Here is a 14679-nt window from a genome sequence, read left to right on the forward strand (position 1 = left end):
TTACTTTTTTTTTTTAGAGTTTACAATACTTTCAATTTATAGTAATAATTAATGTTAAAACAATAGGATATTACTCACAAAATCACACAAATAAGCTCCAATTACACAAACAATAGTGTGGTCACACAAAACGGACAAAACATGGCAGAGATTTCCTTTTACTTGCTAAAGTGGAAGTGTCATTTGGCAATAGAAAAACAAGAGAATTATAATTCACTTGCTTTGACAGTTTTAAAATTATGAGACATTTGATGAACTTTTTTAAATTAGGAGAATTAACCTTATTTCAAATTTTGTAAGTAAAGTAGGACTATTAATGTTCTAACTGCTAAACAATTTTAAATGTGCATGATTTAAATATGCTTAATATGTACCATACTATATAACCCCCACTCACAGTGCAATTCTGTTTTGGATCATTAGTAATATATCCTGAAATGGGAAGCAAGGGCCCAAAGTGCACAAAATGCCTATAGAATCTACACTTACTGTAGGGGTAGATGCTGGTACAACCCATTCCAGGGGTTGTTTTATGATTCCAGATTGTACATGCTATTGTCAAAGATTGAAATAACACACTTTCGGGGGAATCACTGTTCATAACTTAGTGAACAGCCTTCAGGGGTTTTCTCAGGACATGTAAGCATGCAAGCATTTTATTATGCAGCTTCTTCTGGAAAGGTAAGACTTTGGTTCAGCAGCAGGGAATTGGAGCAAGCAGACTACCTCTTTCCAAAATCACTACTGGTTTTCCTAATCACTGCTTAACTGTTTTGATTTAGATACGCATCTGGGCCCGGAAAGATGCAATTGCAAATGGAAGTGCAGACTTTGCTTTGAACATCACAGGTCCCATCTTCTCTTTTCTGGAGGATTTGTTTAATATCAGTTACTCTCTTCCAAAAACAGGTGAGGTAATCTTTTCCTTTCAGTGCATTTGGTTTCCTGTTATTTGGGCCCTTGGTTGAGGCCTCAAGATACACAGACAAACCCATAAGGATTCACCATCACCATTTAGCTGCTGGTTTGGAGTTAGCCTCCTGACCTATGCCTTATACCTTCTGAAACACACAGAGGCTCACCTGCTCTTTCTCTGTACAGAGCCATGTGCTCAGCAGCTGCTGAAGAGCTCTCAGACTTTTTAGGTCTCTCCTGGCTACTCAATGGCAGCCTCCCGTCCTCTAGACCCTACTTTCTCTTTTGAGTTCAGGCCTTTTCTCTCATACTGCAAGTCTGCAGTGCTGAGTCTGGATCACTTTAGCTAGCGGGCTTTCAGAAGTTACTTCAGTTCCCTTTAGTAAGTTTTTTTTTTTTTTAAATATCCATTAGCTGTGAATCATTGAATTAGGACTTAGTGGTCCCAACTATGAATTTTCATCATATAAAATTGGAATCATATGTGAATATAATATGATCCTTAAGGAAATATGTAAATATTTAACCTTTCATAGATCTGTGTGGTATGTTCTTAAAATTGTATGAGCCACTCAGCTCAGAAAGTTGTTCATTGTTTTTTCTCTAAATTGAAAGTATCATGTAAATGTATTTTGTTCTTCTGACATGTTAGTTGAAGACTTGGAAAAAGTATGCGCTGCCTATACTGGCAGATAGTGGAAGAAGGTAGGGAGTAAATATTTGGGAGCTTGAGCCTTCTGAACCCCAGGAAGCCAGGGTCTCTGCAGCTTGAGCATTCTGGCTAAGGAGGAATGGGGAATGAAGGGATGGAAACCAGCCTCGGCCCATTCAGAAATCCTGGAGGAAACACCTATCACTCAGGGAGTTGGAGGCAGCAGGAGCTCAGGCATGGAGACCAAGCTCCTGGCATTTCTGGGGCTGGAGGCTCCCAAGACGCCCCTTGTCTTGGCAAGAAAAGTTCTATTTGTATTTATTTAGATGAGAAGTCCAGAGTCATCCTTGACATCCTGTCCCCTTGAAGCACACCCTCTATCTAATTAGTCACCTTATCGTCCCCTACATCCATCCATCCACTCACTTCTTACTGTCCCCCTAGTTCTCCCTAGTTTTCATCATCATCTCCACCACAGCTGTACTCTCATAGCTTCTCCACATTCCCTCCAAGCCATCCTTTATATGAAACCAGAAGGATCTTTCCAGAGAAAATCTGATCATGTTACTGTTCTCTGTAAAACCTCTGTGTGACCTCCCATTTCCCTGAGGGTTAAGTCCGAAGTCAGTACCGTGTCTTTATAAAGGTGCTTCTCTTACCAACCTCTCAGGGCTTTTGGCAGTTCCTGAGTGGGAAGGATGCTCTAGCACTGTCTCTGCTCACTCCTATGCATTCACCTTCCTCTTGTCTCCTCCAGGCTCTTACACATGCAGTTTGCACATCCTGAAATGGCTTCTATCCACTGGTTAATTCAATTCTGTTTCTCAACTCAGTGCCTCCTCATCCAGGAAGCCTTCCCTGACTTCTTTTCTCACACTTCCACAGTATCCTGCATATTCCACCATCTGAACTCTTGACCAATTGTATTTTAATTATCTCCCTCATTAGACCTCGGAGTTAGGATCTGAAGGGTCTTTTTCTTTGTGCCTCTAGAACCTATGGCAGTCAGGTGGTCAACAGTAAACTTTTTGTGGGATGGAGGAAATAAATACATGTGACTAGTTCAGTAATTCCACGTAAATTCTGACCAGATTATTAATTCCTGGACATCAGGGATACATTTGATACTTTCTTTGTAACCTTCATAGCATCTCAACTGATGTTACCCTATGAGCGCCCATAGGAGGTACTCAATGAAAACCTTATTTTTATTGATAGGTGATTAAGATAAAGAGTTCCTCTATTATTGGGTTTTTGGGAGAAAGATAACTAATGTTTCTTAATTGCTTTAACTCTTTGCTGAGTCACAAACAACAAAACAAAACAAAACAAATGCCTCCCCTACCAGCATTTCCCACATATGCCATACTCTTACCCTCCTCTCTGAGGAGGTGAGTTGGGTGAAAAACGATTTGGTTTATTTCTCCTGTGTTGTTCTCTTAGCTAATTTTCTTGTAGCTTGCTCAATGAATTCTAAACTTTAGAATCAAAGATTATATGAACTGTGTTCATGTACCCCTTATATAGAACAGTATTTTTTCTCATGTTGCTATCATTTTAATTCACTCTCAAGTCAAAAGTTGGACTGAATGTCAAAATATTATAGTGACTGGTAGAGCTAGGTGTTTGGGTTATTATTGTGCCAATTGACACTTTCCCTGTAGGCTATATGCCAGATTTCCTATGCCTATACCAATATTAATTATTAGACTCCTATGTATTTTAAAGATATATCATTTTAATTTTCAATTTTTGATAATTAATGATGAACATTTTAAATAAGATTTTTGGCTGTTTGAAGTATTTCTTTGGTGCATTGTTCACGTTTGGCTTTTTCTCTGTTTTGTCAGAGTTGTTTAAATATTGAAAAGTTGTCTAATCGCTTGTGGTATATGCTTTAAATATTTTTCCCTAGATTATTATTTGCCTTTCAAATTTGTTTATAGTGTATTTTGGTGAACTAAAGTATTTATTTTTATGTATTCATTTTTTGAGACGGCATCTCACTCTATCACCCAGCCTAGAGTGCAGTGGTGCAATCCCCCCCTACTGACACCTCCGCCTCCTAAGTTCAAGTGATTCTCCTGCCTCAGTCTCTCCAGTAGCTGGGATTACAGGTGCGCACCACCATGCCCAGCTAATTTTTCTATTTGTAGTAGAGACAGGGTTTCACTATGTTGGCTAGGCTGGTCTTGAACTCCTGATCTCAAGTGATCCGTCCGCCTAGCCCTCCCAAAGTGCTGAGATTACGCGCATAAGCCACCATGCCTGGCTAAAATGTTTAATATAAATAGACTATTTTTAGAGCAGTTTAAGGTTTACAGGAAGATTGTGCAAAAAATACAGAGAGTTCCCATATATTCTCTCTTTCCTTTCTTCTCCCTCCTTTCTCCTGTTGTCAACATCTTGCATTGGTGTGGTACACTTGTTACAATATTGAAACATTATTATTAACTAACCTCCCTAGTTTATCTTAGGGTTCAGTTTTTGCATTGTACAGCAATATGGGTTTTGGCAACTGTATAATGACCAGTATTGACAATTACAGTATCATACAGAATAGTTTCACTGCCATAAAAATCCCCTGTTCTCCATCTATTTATCCTCCCCTGCTTCCCCCGAATCCCTGACAACCACCAATCTTTTTATTATCTTTAGAGTTTTGCCTGTTCCAGAATGTCATATAGTTGGAATTGCATAGTATGTAGCTTTCCCAGACCAGCTTCTTTCACTTAGCAACATGCACTTAAAATTTCCCATAACTTTTCCTAGCATGATACATCATTTCTCATCACTGAATAATACTCTGTTGTATTGATGTACTGCAGTTTGTTTATCTATTAGCCTATTTAAGGGCATCTTGGTTGCTTCCAACTTTTAGCAATTATGAATAAAGCTTCTATAAACATTTGTGTGCAGGTTTTTGGGTGGGCATAAGATTTCTGGTCATTTGGGTTAATTCCAAGGAATGTAATTGTCAGATCTTATGGTCAACCTATAGTGACTGTACCATTTTGCATCCCCACGAGCAATGAATGAGAGTTCCTGTTGCTCCACATCCTCATCTGCATTTGGTGTTGCCAGTATTTTGGATTTTAGCCATTCTAGTAGGTGTGTGGTAATATCTCATTGTTTTAATTTAAAATTCTCTAATGACAATTGATGTTGAGCATCTTTTCATATGTGTATTTGCCATTTATATATCTTCTTTAGTGAGGTGTATGTTCAGATCTTTTGTCCATTTTGTAGTTGGGTTGTCTGTTTCTTTACTGCTAAGTTGTAAGCATTCTTTGTGTATTTGAATACAAGTCCTTTATCAAGAATATTTTATGTTAACATAGTGAAAATAATTTATTTGCTGGCTTTTGTCTTTGGCATTAGTCTTTAAAAAGCCTTCTCTCCGTTCAGGTTATAAATATTCCCTTGAATTTTTTGGTAATTTTATGATTTCATTTTGAGATATTTAAAAAATCCCATTTTTTGGAAAAGATTATTTTATTTTCTCCTCCATTTAAATCCACTTAGATATAATTGCCTTGCCTAGTTTTGACAACCATGCAATGGAAAACTGGGGACTAATGATATTTGATGAATCAGGATTGTTGTTGGAACCAAAAGATCAACTGACAGAAAAAAAGACTCTGATCTCCTATGTTGTCTCCCACGAGATTGGACACCAGGCATGTGGTAAAATGTTCTTTTTATTTCACTTGAAGTTATTCTCCAGGTGCGCTACCAAAATAGCATAAAAACCCCAGTAAGACCCTGCCATATACCATATTTTAAAAAGAAAAACATCTCAAAGTATGACAGTGAGTAAAAATGGGGAAGACTCAGATTCAGGGTGGATTTGAGCTACTGGTGACAGATCATAGGGAGGAGACCGTACAGTTTGGCTGAGGGCTGGGTATTTACATCTAACAATTAAGTTTGCTCCACAAAGTCCTCTTCAGGAAAAGTTAAACCATGCAGACACAGGAGTATTTTATTTTCATTTCACCTAAAATAAGGGCTATTCAAAAGGATCACTGAAAGATACCCACATTTCATCAGCAGATTGTTATAAATTTCTAGTTGTTGTTGCTGTTGTTGGAGAGAGGTTAAATGGATACAGGTAATAGATTAGCAAGGTGGCAATAATTAACCCTTGAGCTGCATTCCCAATGGTTGTGTAAATGACAATTCATTTAATCAGATCTATTTGCTTTTGCATTGGGATTTTAGAAGTTTAGCTGTTTAATTTGATGAAGATTTTCATATCTGCATTTCAGTGTCTGCACCATTAATACAAGTCTGTTAAGAAAGAAATAATTTCAACGATGTTATCTTCGTAATGTGGCTCCATAAGAAGTTTTGGAAAAGAGCAGTTTACTAGGATTGATTAATACCCTGGTGCACAGTAAAACAAACACAATCACAAGTTTTATTAAGTCACCCGAAGTGTCATTTTCTATTATAGCCTAAGTTACACATTGTTTTGCAATACAGGCTATTAGTAATTATAGCTGTTATAAGAATTTGGTGAAATACCAGGGCTTGCGTTTGTTAGTTTGGAAATCATTGTTTTTCTTTCCTAATTCTGTTCATCATCCATTTGACACTGTTTTTTTTTTTCTGTTCAGTTCAAACAGAAAATAATTAACAGCTGAGCCATATTGCATAACGTATGATTACTTGAGTGATTTGTACATGGCACAGATCAAATTATTTTCTTAAAATATAAACAACTGCTTAAAGTAAAATCCAGTTGCAGCCTACTTAGAGTATAAGGTGCTAGAATTAGTAGGTGGCAAGTCAGCATTCAGGGCTTCTGTTTTATGGAACTAAAAACAACTTTTGGGCCAAGTGGACAGTTTAAGAAATGCTATTCTAGCTGACCTTATGTTTAAACATTGCAGTTTTAAAACAAAAATTGCTTTTAATAATTGAACATGGAATATTTCTGAGAAATGCATGACTAATATCTATTTATGTGAAAACAACAACTTGCTTTTTTGGTGTCCTGTCTTCAAGTTTTGTTATTGATGGCAAATAAATTTTAATTATGTCTTTTGACCTTACATTTACTTAACATGCAATTACAACGAATATAACTTAAAAATTAAATTTAAGAAAGCTCTTTTTTTCTTCTCATTTCCAAAAGTGGTTTGGAAACTTGGTTACCATGAATTGGTGGAACAATATCTGGCTCAACGAGGGTTTTGCATCTTATTTTGAGTTTGAAGTAATTAACTACTTTAATCCTAAACTCCCAAGAGTAAGTATGTTTACTAAGTTTATTTAACATTTTTCTCCTAATTATAAAAGTAATGCATATTCATTCTTGAAAATGTATAAAATACAAGAAAATACAAGAAATAATAAATTACCTATAATACCAAAAATAATTTGTGTTAGCTTTTTGATATTTTTTTTTAATTCCAGGCTTTTTATCTATTGTAAATGTTTTTGAAGGTGGGAATTACATAAAATTTTGTATTGCTTTTTTTACTTCATATTCAACTTCATATTTCTACATATTCATATTTCTACTTCATAATCCTGAGTATTTCTACAAATCATTAGATCTTTTTAAAAAAGATTTTAAATGACTGCCTAAGATTATTTTCACTTATTCCTACTACATATATTTCTTAGTCCTGCTATATAGACTATATATATATAGTCTAGGTCTTGCTCTGTCACCTAGGCTGGAGACATGGTCTCGCTCTGTCACCCAAACTGGAGTGTGGTGGCATGATCTTGACTCAATGCAGTCTCGACCTCCTGGGCTCAAGCAGTCCTCCCACCTCAGCCTTCCAAATAGCTGGGACTACAGGCATGTGCCACCATGCCTAGATCATTTTTGTATTGTTTGTAGAGACGGGGTTTCGCCATGTTGCCCAGACTGGTCTCAAACTCCTGGACTCAAGGGATCCACCAGCCTCGGCCTCCCAAAGTGCTGGGATTACAGGCGTGAGCTACCGCGCCCAACCTAGACTGTATTTTAAAGCAACTGTAACAGCAGTGTGTGACTTTTATGATAAGTAATATGCTACTTCATATTTAATTAATATTATTGCTGATATTGTTTTGCTAATTTGAGTAAATAATAATATTGAAAGATAAATACATCAATGTGAAAATCTAATTCTTTCAACTGTAGGTTTTACTTCTGATATTTAATTTATTTAGAGTAATTATGTAGTGCTTTTAGAATGCCATGATAAAACCAAATTGATTTGATTTAGATATCTAAATGTTTAGACTTAATGTTATCTTTTGATATAAACCTTACTTCTGTTATAAACCAGAGGTTCTTTCTTGGTTTGCATCTTCTTCCCCTCCTCTCTTCTGTCTCCTGTAACCTCTCTGGTCCTCAGGATTGCTCCTTCCTGCCTCTCTTTGCTGGTCCCCGTCTCATCTCAGCTCCCAGTTGTTCCAAGGCTGGATTACTGACCTCTTTTCTCCTCCCTACCTTCACTCATTCAAAGGATTTATTAATATTGAAATGCTATCTCTACTTGCTGGATCTTCTTTACAGGCTAAATCTATTCATTCTGAAGGAGATTCTAAGATGATATTCGTCCTATTATTTTGGAAGTAAGCTTTCCTTTTTTTATGAAAATTGATAATCGATGGTAGGTAGATGGTACTTGTTTTGGTCGATAGTTTGGCAGGAAAAAAAAGTTGACAAGCCTATCTTAGTGCCACAGAAACCTTTTAAAAAATCTCTTTTTATCTGTTTGTGACATCACAGCATCTGGCAAGCACTGATGTAGTGCACGCTTTTAACACCCGAGTTCCATGCCACCTCCCCGCCCTTTACAGACATGCTATAAGGTCCCCAGCCCAGTCACTCCGCAGTGCCTCTCTCTTCCTCCCCATGGACTATACACAGGCCCTGCTTGTCCTGGAGGAAAGTTTGGACGTCATTATATAGATCAGGAGACTGAAGTACTGAAAGGTTAAATGACTTGCCAAAGGTAATTTGCCCAACTGGGACAGGCCTGATTTTATAACCAGCTGTCTGGGTCTAGTCTGATGACAAGGATGACGATAACAACAATAATACTGTATTTACCATTCAGTGAGTACTTAGAACTTAAGTGCCAGGCAGTGTGAGCACTACACATACATCATCTTACTCAGTCCTCAAACCAACCATATGAGTGCTGTTGTTATTTCTATTTTACATGTGAGGAAACTGAGGTATAGAAGCATTAAGTAAGTTGCTCAAGCTCTCATAGTTATTAAATGTCAGAAGTGAGATTCAATTCCAGGTCAGGCCAACTGCGAAGCCCATGCTTTTAACCACTGTGCTCTATAGCAAAAACACACTGGAGTGTTCTTATCCTCAAGAAGCTAATCGTGTGTGTGTGTGTGTGTGTGTGTGTCTTTATCTGCATACAGTATGTGTTTATTGTCTTAGCTCTCTCCAACAGTCCTTTCCACTTACTCTATGCCTACAAAATTGTTTGTATCTCTCTTTCATAACTTTTATTCACTCATGGTTAGTGCCATCTTTAACTTCTTTTGAAAGCAGTTGGGTATGTCCTAAATTAACTCTGTGGATAGAGTAAATAAGGGAAGAAGTTTAATTCCCATAAGACAATGAAATTTACTCTATTTTCTTAAGTAGATAGAATACATCATGAGCATCAATTTCAGTTACCTCTTATAATAACTAAAATGGTTATTATCAATATCTTGCAAAACTTGCCAAAAACATATTCCTCATATTTTTGAAGCTAAGATTACAACGTTAGTCTCTTTTTGTACCTTTTAATTATTTCTTTTTATCATTAGTTTCTTAGCCACTCTTTTCTATACCTCTTAGTTGCTTGTGGAGCTGAGTGAAAGCATCAGATCTTGGCAACTGAGGACATTGCCACGTTCTTTGTTTTTAAAAAGCTTAAGCTCTCCTTTCAATGATTTTTGGAGATCAAGAACTTTAACCTCCTTTTAATCTAGTAATGTGATTGAAATTGAGTAACAGAATCATAGACCCTTATGCAGAAACAGATTTACAATTTTTTCTATTTCGAGGTCTAATTTCAGCTGATATGAATGGATTATGCTCAAGGGGTCAGAACATTAGGGACGAAGGCTTTCTGGAACTCTGAAGCTCTGGCCCTGACATTGCCACTCACTGACTTTCCTCCACCTTCCTGCTGCCTGATCTAAGAAAGCAGCAGTCTTGGTGAAGGGAAAAGGTACATATGGGCACTGCAGCCATCATATGTTGCTCTGCCTTTACTATGATGGTAAGCTGAGGCAGGCAGATGAACACCTCTGAGCTTTAGTTCCTCATTTGTAAAATGGGTTCTTGCAGTCATTCAACAGATGATAATTGCATCTGCTAGGTACTGTTGAGACAACTACCACTAACTAGGCACTAGTTTTATGTACTTAAATAGAATTATTTATATTATCTCATTCAATCCTCAGGGCAATTCTGAAGGATAATAATAAAAATAATGATAAGTAATCACCGCAGTGGTTAACCCTTATTGAGCATGTCCTATTTGCTATCCGTTGTGCTTGGAACATCATGAAAATTAATTTAGTACTCATAATAATCCATTGAGGACATTGTTGTTTTACCCATTTTCGGACGGCAACTGAGTTTCAGAGAGATAAAGTTGGTGGTCTTTGATGAGTCACATAACTCCTAAAGGGCCGAGGAAGGATTCGTACACAGGCACTTTAACTCCAAATCCTGCGTTTTTAATCATCATGATATTCTATACCAATTTATTACAATAAATAATGTTATATTTCTAAGGATAAGAGTAGATTTTATGCTATGTGTGGTGGCTCATGCCTGTGATCCCAACACTTTGGGAGGCCAAGGTGGGAGAATCTCTTAAGCTCAGGAGTTTAAGACCAGCCTGGGCAACATAGTGAAATCTCGTCTCTACTAAAATTTTTTTAATTAGCAGGGCATGGTGCTGCACCCTTGTAGTCCTAGCTACTCAGGAGGCTGCAGTGAGAGGATTGATAGAGCCTAGGAAATTGAAGCTGCGGCGAGCTATGACCACACCAGTGCACTCCAGCCTGGGCAACTGAGTGAGACTCTCCAAAAAAAAAAAGGAAGAAATTTTAATAGGCCTTCTCTGACATATTGCAGCTTGTGGGACAAAGTAATGGTGAATATACAGATTCATATTATCTAATCACTATATGCAGTAGCTAGATAGTTTTTTTTAAAGCTGACATCATGTTTTATGTAGTGTTTCCCTGCAATAGAACTGAAACAGGCTACAGACAGCATCACTTTATGGGAGGCCCAGAATAGAAAGACCTCTAGGGTGTTGAGGAAGAGGTGTTTGCCTCATTCATCAATTACCTTGTATGGTTATAGTGATATCACGAAGATTACATAAAACCTTATACCAGGCAGGCAGAAGAAAGAAAGACAATCTGTTCTGATAGGGTTAGGGGAGACTCACAAAATGTGGAGTAGCAATATGTGCAAAAACGTTCATTAAAACTGGTTAAAACAGCAAAAAGCTGAAAGTAACTTAAATGTCTAGCTAATAAAAGGGAAATGATTAAATCAATTATGGGCCATTGACCTGATGGGTTATTATGCAGCTATGTATTTATATATTTTAAGGTTTTTCTTTTGCAAAAGTTTTATCTGCTGTACTTTGAAAAGAAGAAAATCATCTGTGGTTTGATTACCCTGAGATAATCACTATTAAATTTTGGTTTATTTTCTTTCAATTTATGTTTCTGTTTTCTTTATAATGCAGCAGCCATTATAAGGGATAATTATAAAGATGAGGTAGCAAAATTGTAAAATGCTATAACAAGTAAATGAGCAAGATAAAAAGTTTTTACAACTATGGGAATAAATAGTACATAGGAAAAAGGATGAAAAAGAACTACACTAACATTTTAATGGTGGCGACCTTAGGGTGCGATATTATGGGTGATTTTATTTTCTCTATTTTCTACATTGTGCTTATAGGTCACCAGTGAGACACTCTCAAGAAGCCTTGAGTGTTGAGCTAATAAAATCCATGCTTACTGAGTAGGATCAGACCTATGCAGATGACTCCTCCAAATCCTTGCTACTCGGTGTGATTCTTAAACTAGCAGCATCAGCATCATTGGGTAGTTTATTAGAAATACAGGCTCCAACCCAAACCAACTGAATCAGAACATGATTTTGACAAAATCCCCTGGTGATCCTTCTTCATGTTAAAATTTGAGATGTATTGCTCTAAATGATAGGCTTTCTCATTTCCGGAAAAGCAGAGTTTGATAATGGCCTAATCAATGGTATTACTAGCCTAAAAATAATGTGCTAATAGAAAGGGATTGATGAGAACATTGGCAAATGGAAGTGAAACAGATTTTGAAAATCTGACGCTGTCAAAGGGTGAGAGAGTCAACTTGCAGATCCCAAAGATAGTCAGTAGGGACTTGAGGGTTCCCGTGGATCATGAGGGGTTCACCTGGCTCTCCAGGCTGCGAACGTGTGCCGGTATAACTTCTCCACTGGTCTTTGCTCTAGCTCTTCATCACAAGACTCTCTGGCTATAAACTGATTTTTCTTCTAGCTTTACTTCAGGGAGAAATTGCCCTTATCATGTGTCTGAGAGAGAGCTAGTCTTTTAAAGAGTCCTATGGTTTTTATTAAAATATAATAAATTGCCTTATCTTAATGCATGAGCCATAAACTGTAATATCCATTTTATGGATTTATTTTCAATTTTAAATTATTACATCAGCATCTTTGTGAGTTTGTAGATCTGGCATGCTTTTGGTTTGTAAATATTCATGAAAGAGAGACTGATTAATTTTAAGGAGTTATTGATAAAATTACTGATGAAATTTTAGATAATTAAAACCACCTTAAGGAAGGCCCTCTCAGGATGGCCATGGACCTCCTTGTGGGAAATGTAGGTGGCTTTTGGAAACCACATTAACTTTGTAATTGACTTTTTAAAAACTGAAATGAAAAAGGATACAAATGGGAAGGAAACTATCTTATAGTTTTGTTATTCAAGGAATCCTGACTTTATTTGGCATATTTCAACTCAAAGACACTTCTCAATTACTGAATTTTCTCCCTCTTCAATATCAGTTTTTGAAAGTATTTTAGGGCCATAGAATTTTGGTCTTCTGTGACACCTCAGGAGTTAATGTGCCTCCATCTTTTCCTTTATAGAATGAGATCTTTTTTTCTAACATTTTACATAATATCCTCAGAGAAGATCACGCCCTGGTGACTAGAGCTGTGGCCATGAAGGTGGAAAATTTCAAAACAAGTGAAATACAGGAACTCTTTGACATATTTACTTACAGCAAGGTAAAAGCAGTTAGAAATTTCCTTTGGTTTTGTACTCTGGTAGAAAGTTGCATAAAATGGATTCTAAGGGTCCTATATCATCATACAACTTAAAACATTTTATGAAAATAACCTTATTTTAATTCAATACATAGGTATCAGAAAACATGATTAAATTAATTCTCACCTTGCAAATATCCATCAAGCCAATATTAATGCTTGGGTCCATCAACCATAGACTTTAACAACTTGCTACTTTTAAGGTGAACCCTTTTGCTTGGTGGAAATTTATTCTTGCTATGTAAAGATCTCAATTTTTAAAAATTTTATGTACTCTGTACTCTTTACATGTAGGACATCTGCTTACCTTTTACCTCTGAATTAGTGACAGCCTACTATTTTGTTAGCACATTCCAAAATAATTCAAACATTCAACTAAAATGCAAAATGCAATCAGGAGCACAGCTCAGAATATTGCTTATAAATATGGAATGTGTCAGTATGTGGATATTGAATTTTGTTCAAATAATGGACAGCTTCTTTTGTCCTAGGGAGCGTCTATGGCCCGGATGCTTTCTTGTTTCTTGAATGAGCATTTATTTGTCAGTGCACTCAAGGTGAGTTTGCAAAATAGTCGTTACCTGGATGGCAGTAAACATAAATTCCATTGGCATGCTATTTATTTTAACCTTAACTTTTCTATTTTTACAGTCATATTTGAAGACATTTTCCTACTCAAACGCTGAGCAAGATGATCTATGGAGGCATTTTCAAATGGTAATTGTCCTACTTTCTGACACATTCTTGCTGAGTTGTTTTGTATGATACAGGAAAAGACTGGGAGGCCATGGGTGAATGGCAGTTCCACAGGAAAACAGCTTTGTCTTGTTGTAGAACTCCCTTAGGTCATGGGTAGTGTCTTTAGTCTTCACTATATTCCCAGTGCCCAGAACAGAGCATGGAATATGTTAGATCAATAAATATGTGTTCATATTTATTGAATTAATGAATTAAAGAACCATTCATATATAAACAGAGTTCTAAATTTGCCCCAGAGGATCACCCACTGCAGGACTACTACATAAGTGAGGAAGAGAATAGCTACCGAGTTTCTTTTTGGAGATTGCTACTTCAAAATGTTTCACGGATAACCTTACCTGCCTTTGTGGTGATTTTTTAAAACAGGCCATAGATGACCAGAGTACAGTTATTTTGCCAGCAACAATAAAAAACATAATGGACAGTTGGACACACCAGAGTGGTTTTCCAGTGATCACTTTAAATGTGTCTACTGGCGTCATGAAACAGGAGCCATTTTATCTTGAAAACATTAAAAATCGGACTCTTCTAACCAGCAAGTAGGTAGCTTTGCTCCTCTTTGTCTTCACCTTCCTTGGGGTTGAGCTCTGACCCAATGGAATCCAGCCTGTGGGTGAAGAAGCGTTACCCCCGCTGGGCATACACACTTCTGCAATGTGACTGTGTACTAGGGTGAAGCAGAGCCCTTGTGTCCGGGCAACGCCAGAGACCCGCAGTTAGGGATTCAAGACACAGTGCCCCTACCCTGGGATTTAGGGTTACATCAGCGACCCAAGCTGTGGGCTATTGTGTGTTCCTCTTCATCCCTCAGACAGAGGTAATGAATTACTTGGGATTCTGAGTGAGGGGCAGTAAGACAGAGCCATAGATTGCCATATATTAGTAAAGAGGAAAGGAAGTCTTACTGCAGAGTGGTCTTCTCTTCCTTAGAAATGAAACTGAATGGTAACTATTTCCTTGAGGAATAGTTCTGTGCAGGGGTGTGCACGGATGTGTGTGGATGCGTGCG

At 37.2% G+C, this 14679-nt stretch overlaps 1 protein-coding gene across 8 annotated transcripts in view; it reads left to right on the top strand.

Annotated features, from left to right (window-relative positions):
- The window catches only part of LVRN (laeverin), a 65132-nt gene that overhangs the window by 24556 nt on the left and 25897 nt on the right, over positions 1 to 14679 (top strand). For 4 of the 8 annotated variants that reach the window (NM_173800.5, XM_047416915.1, XM_047416913.1 and 1 more), the window contains exons 4-10: positions 783 to 909; positions 5093 to 5247; positions 6711 to 6824; positions 12732 to 12872; positions 13403 to 13468; positions 13563 to 13628; positions 14037 to 14209. In NM_173800.5, coding sequence (NP_776161.3) covers positions 783 to 909; positions 5093 to 5247; positions 6711 to 6824; positions 12732 to 12872; positions 13403 to 13468; positions 13563 to 13628; positions 14037 to 14209 — 842 coding nt within the window. Of the gene's footprint in view, positions 1 to 782; positions 910 to 5092; positions 5255 to 6710; positions 6825 to 7701; positions 8533 to 10510; positions 10699 to 12731; positions 12873 to 13402; positions 13469 to 13562; positions 13629 to 14036; positions 14210 to 14679 lie in introns of those variants that run through there. The other 4 variants (XM_047416916.1, XM_047416919.1, XM_047416918.1 and 1 more) reach the window with 4 other exon arrangements.

This window comes from Homo sapiens, chromosome 5 (genome assembly GCF_000001405.40).
Source record: "Homo sapiens chromosome 5, GRCh38.p14 Primary Assembly".
Lineage (NCBI taxonomy): Eukaryota > Metazoa > Chordata > Mammalia > Primates > Hominidae > Homo > Homo sapiens.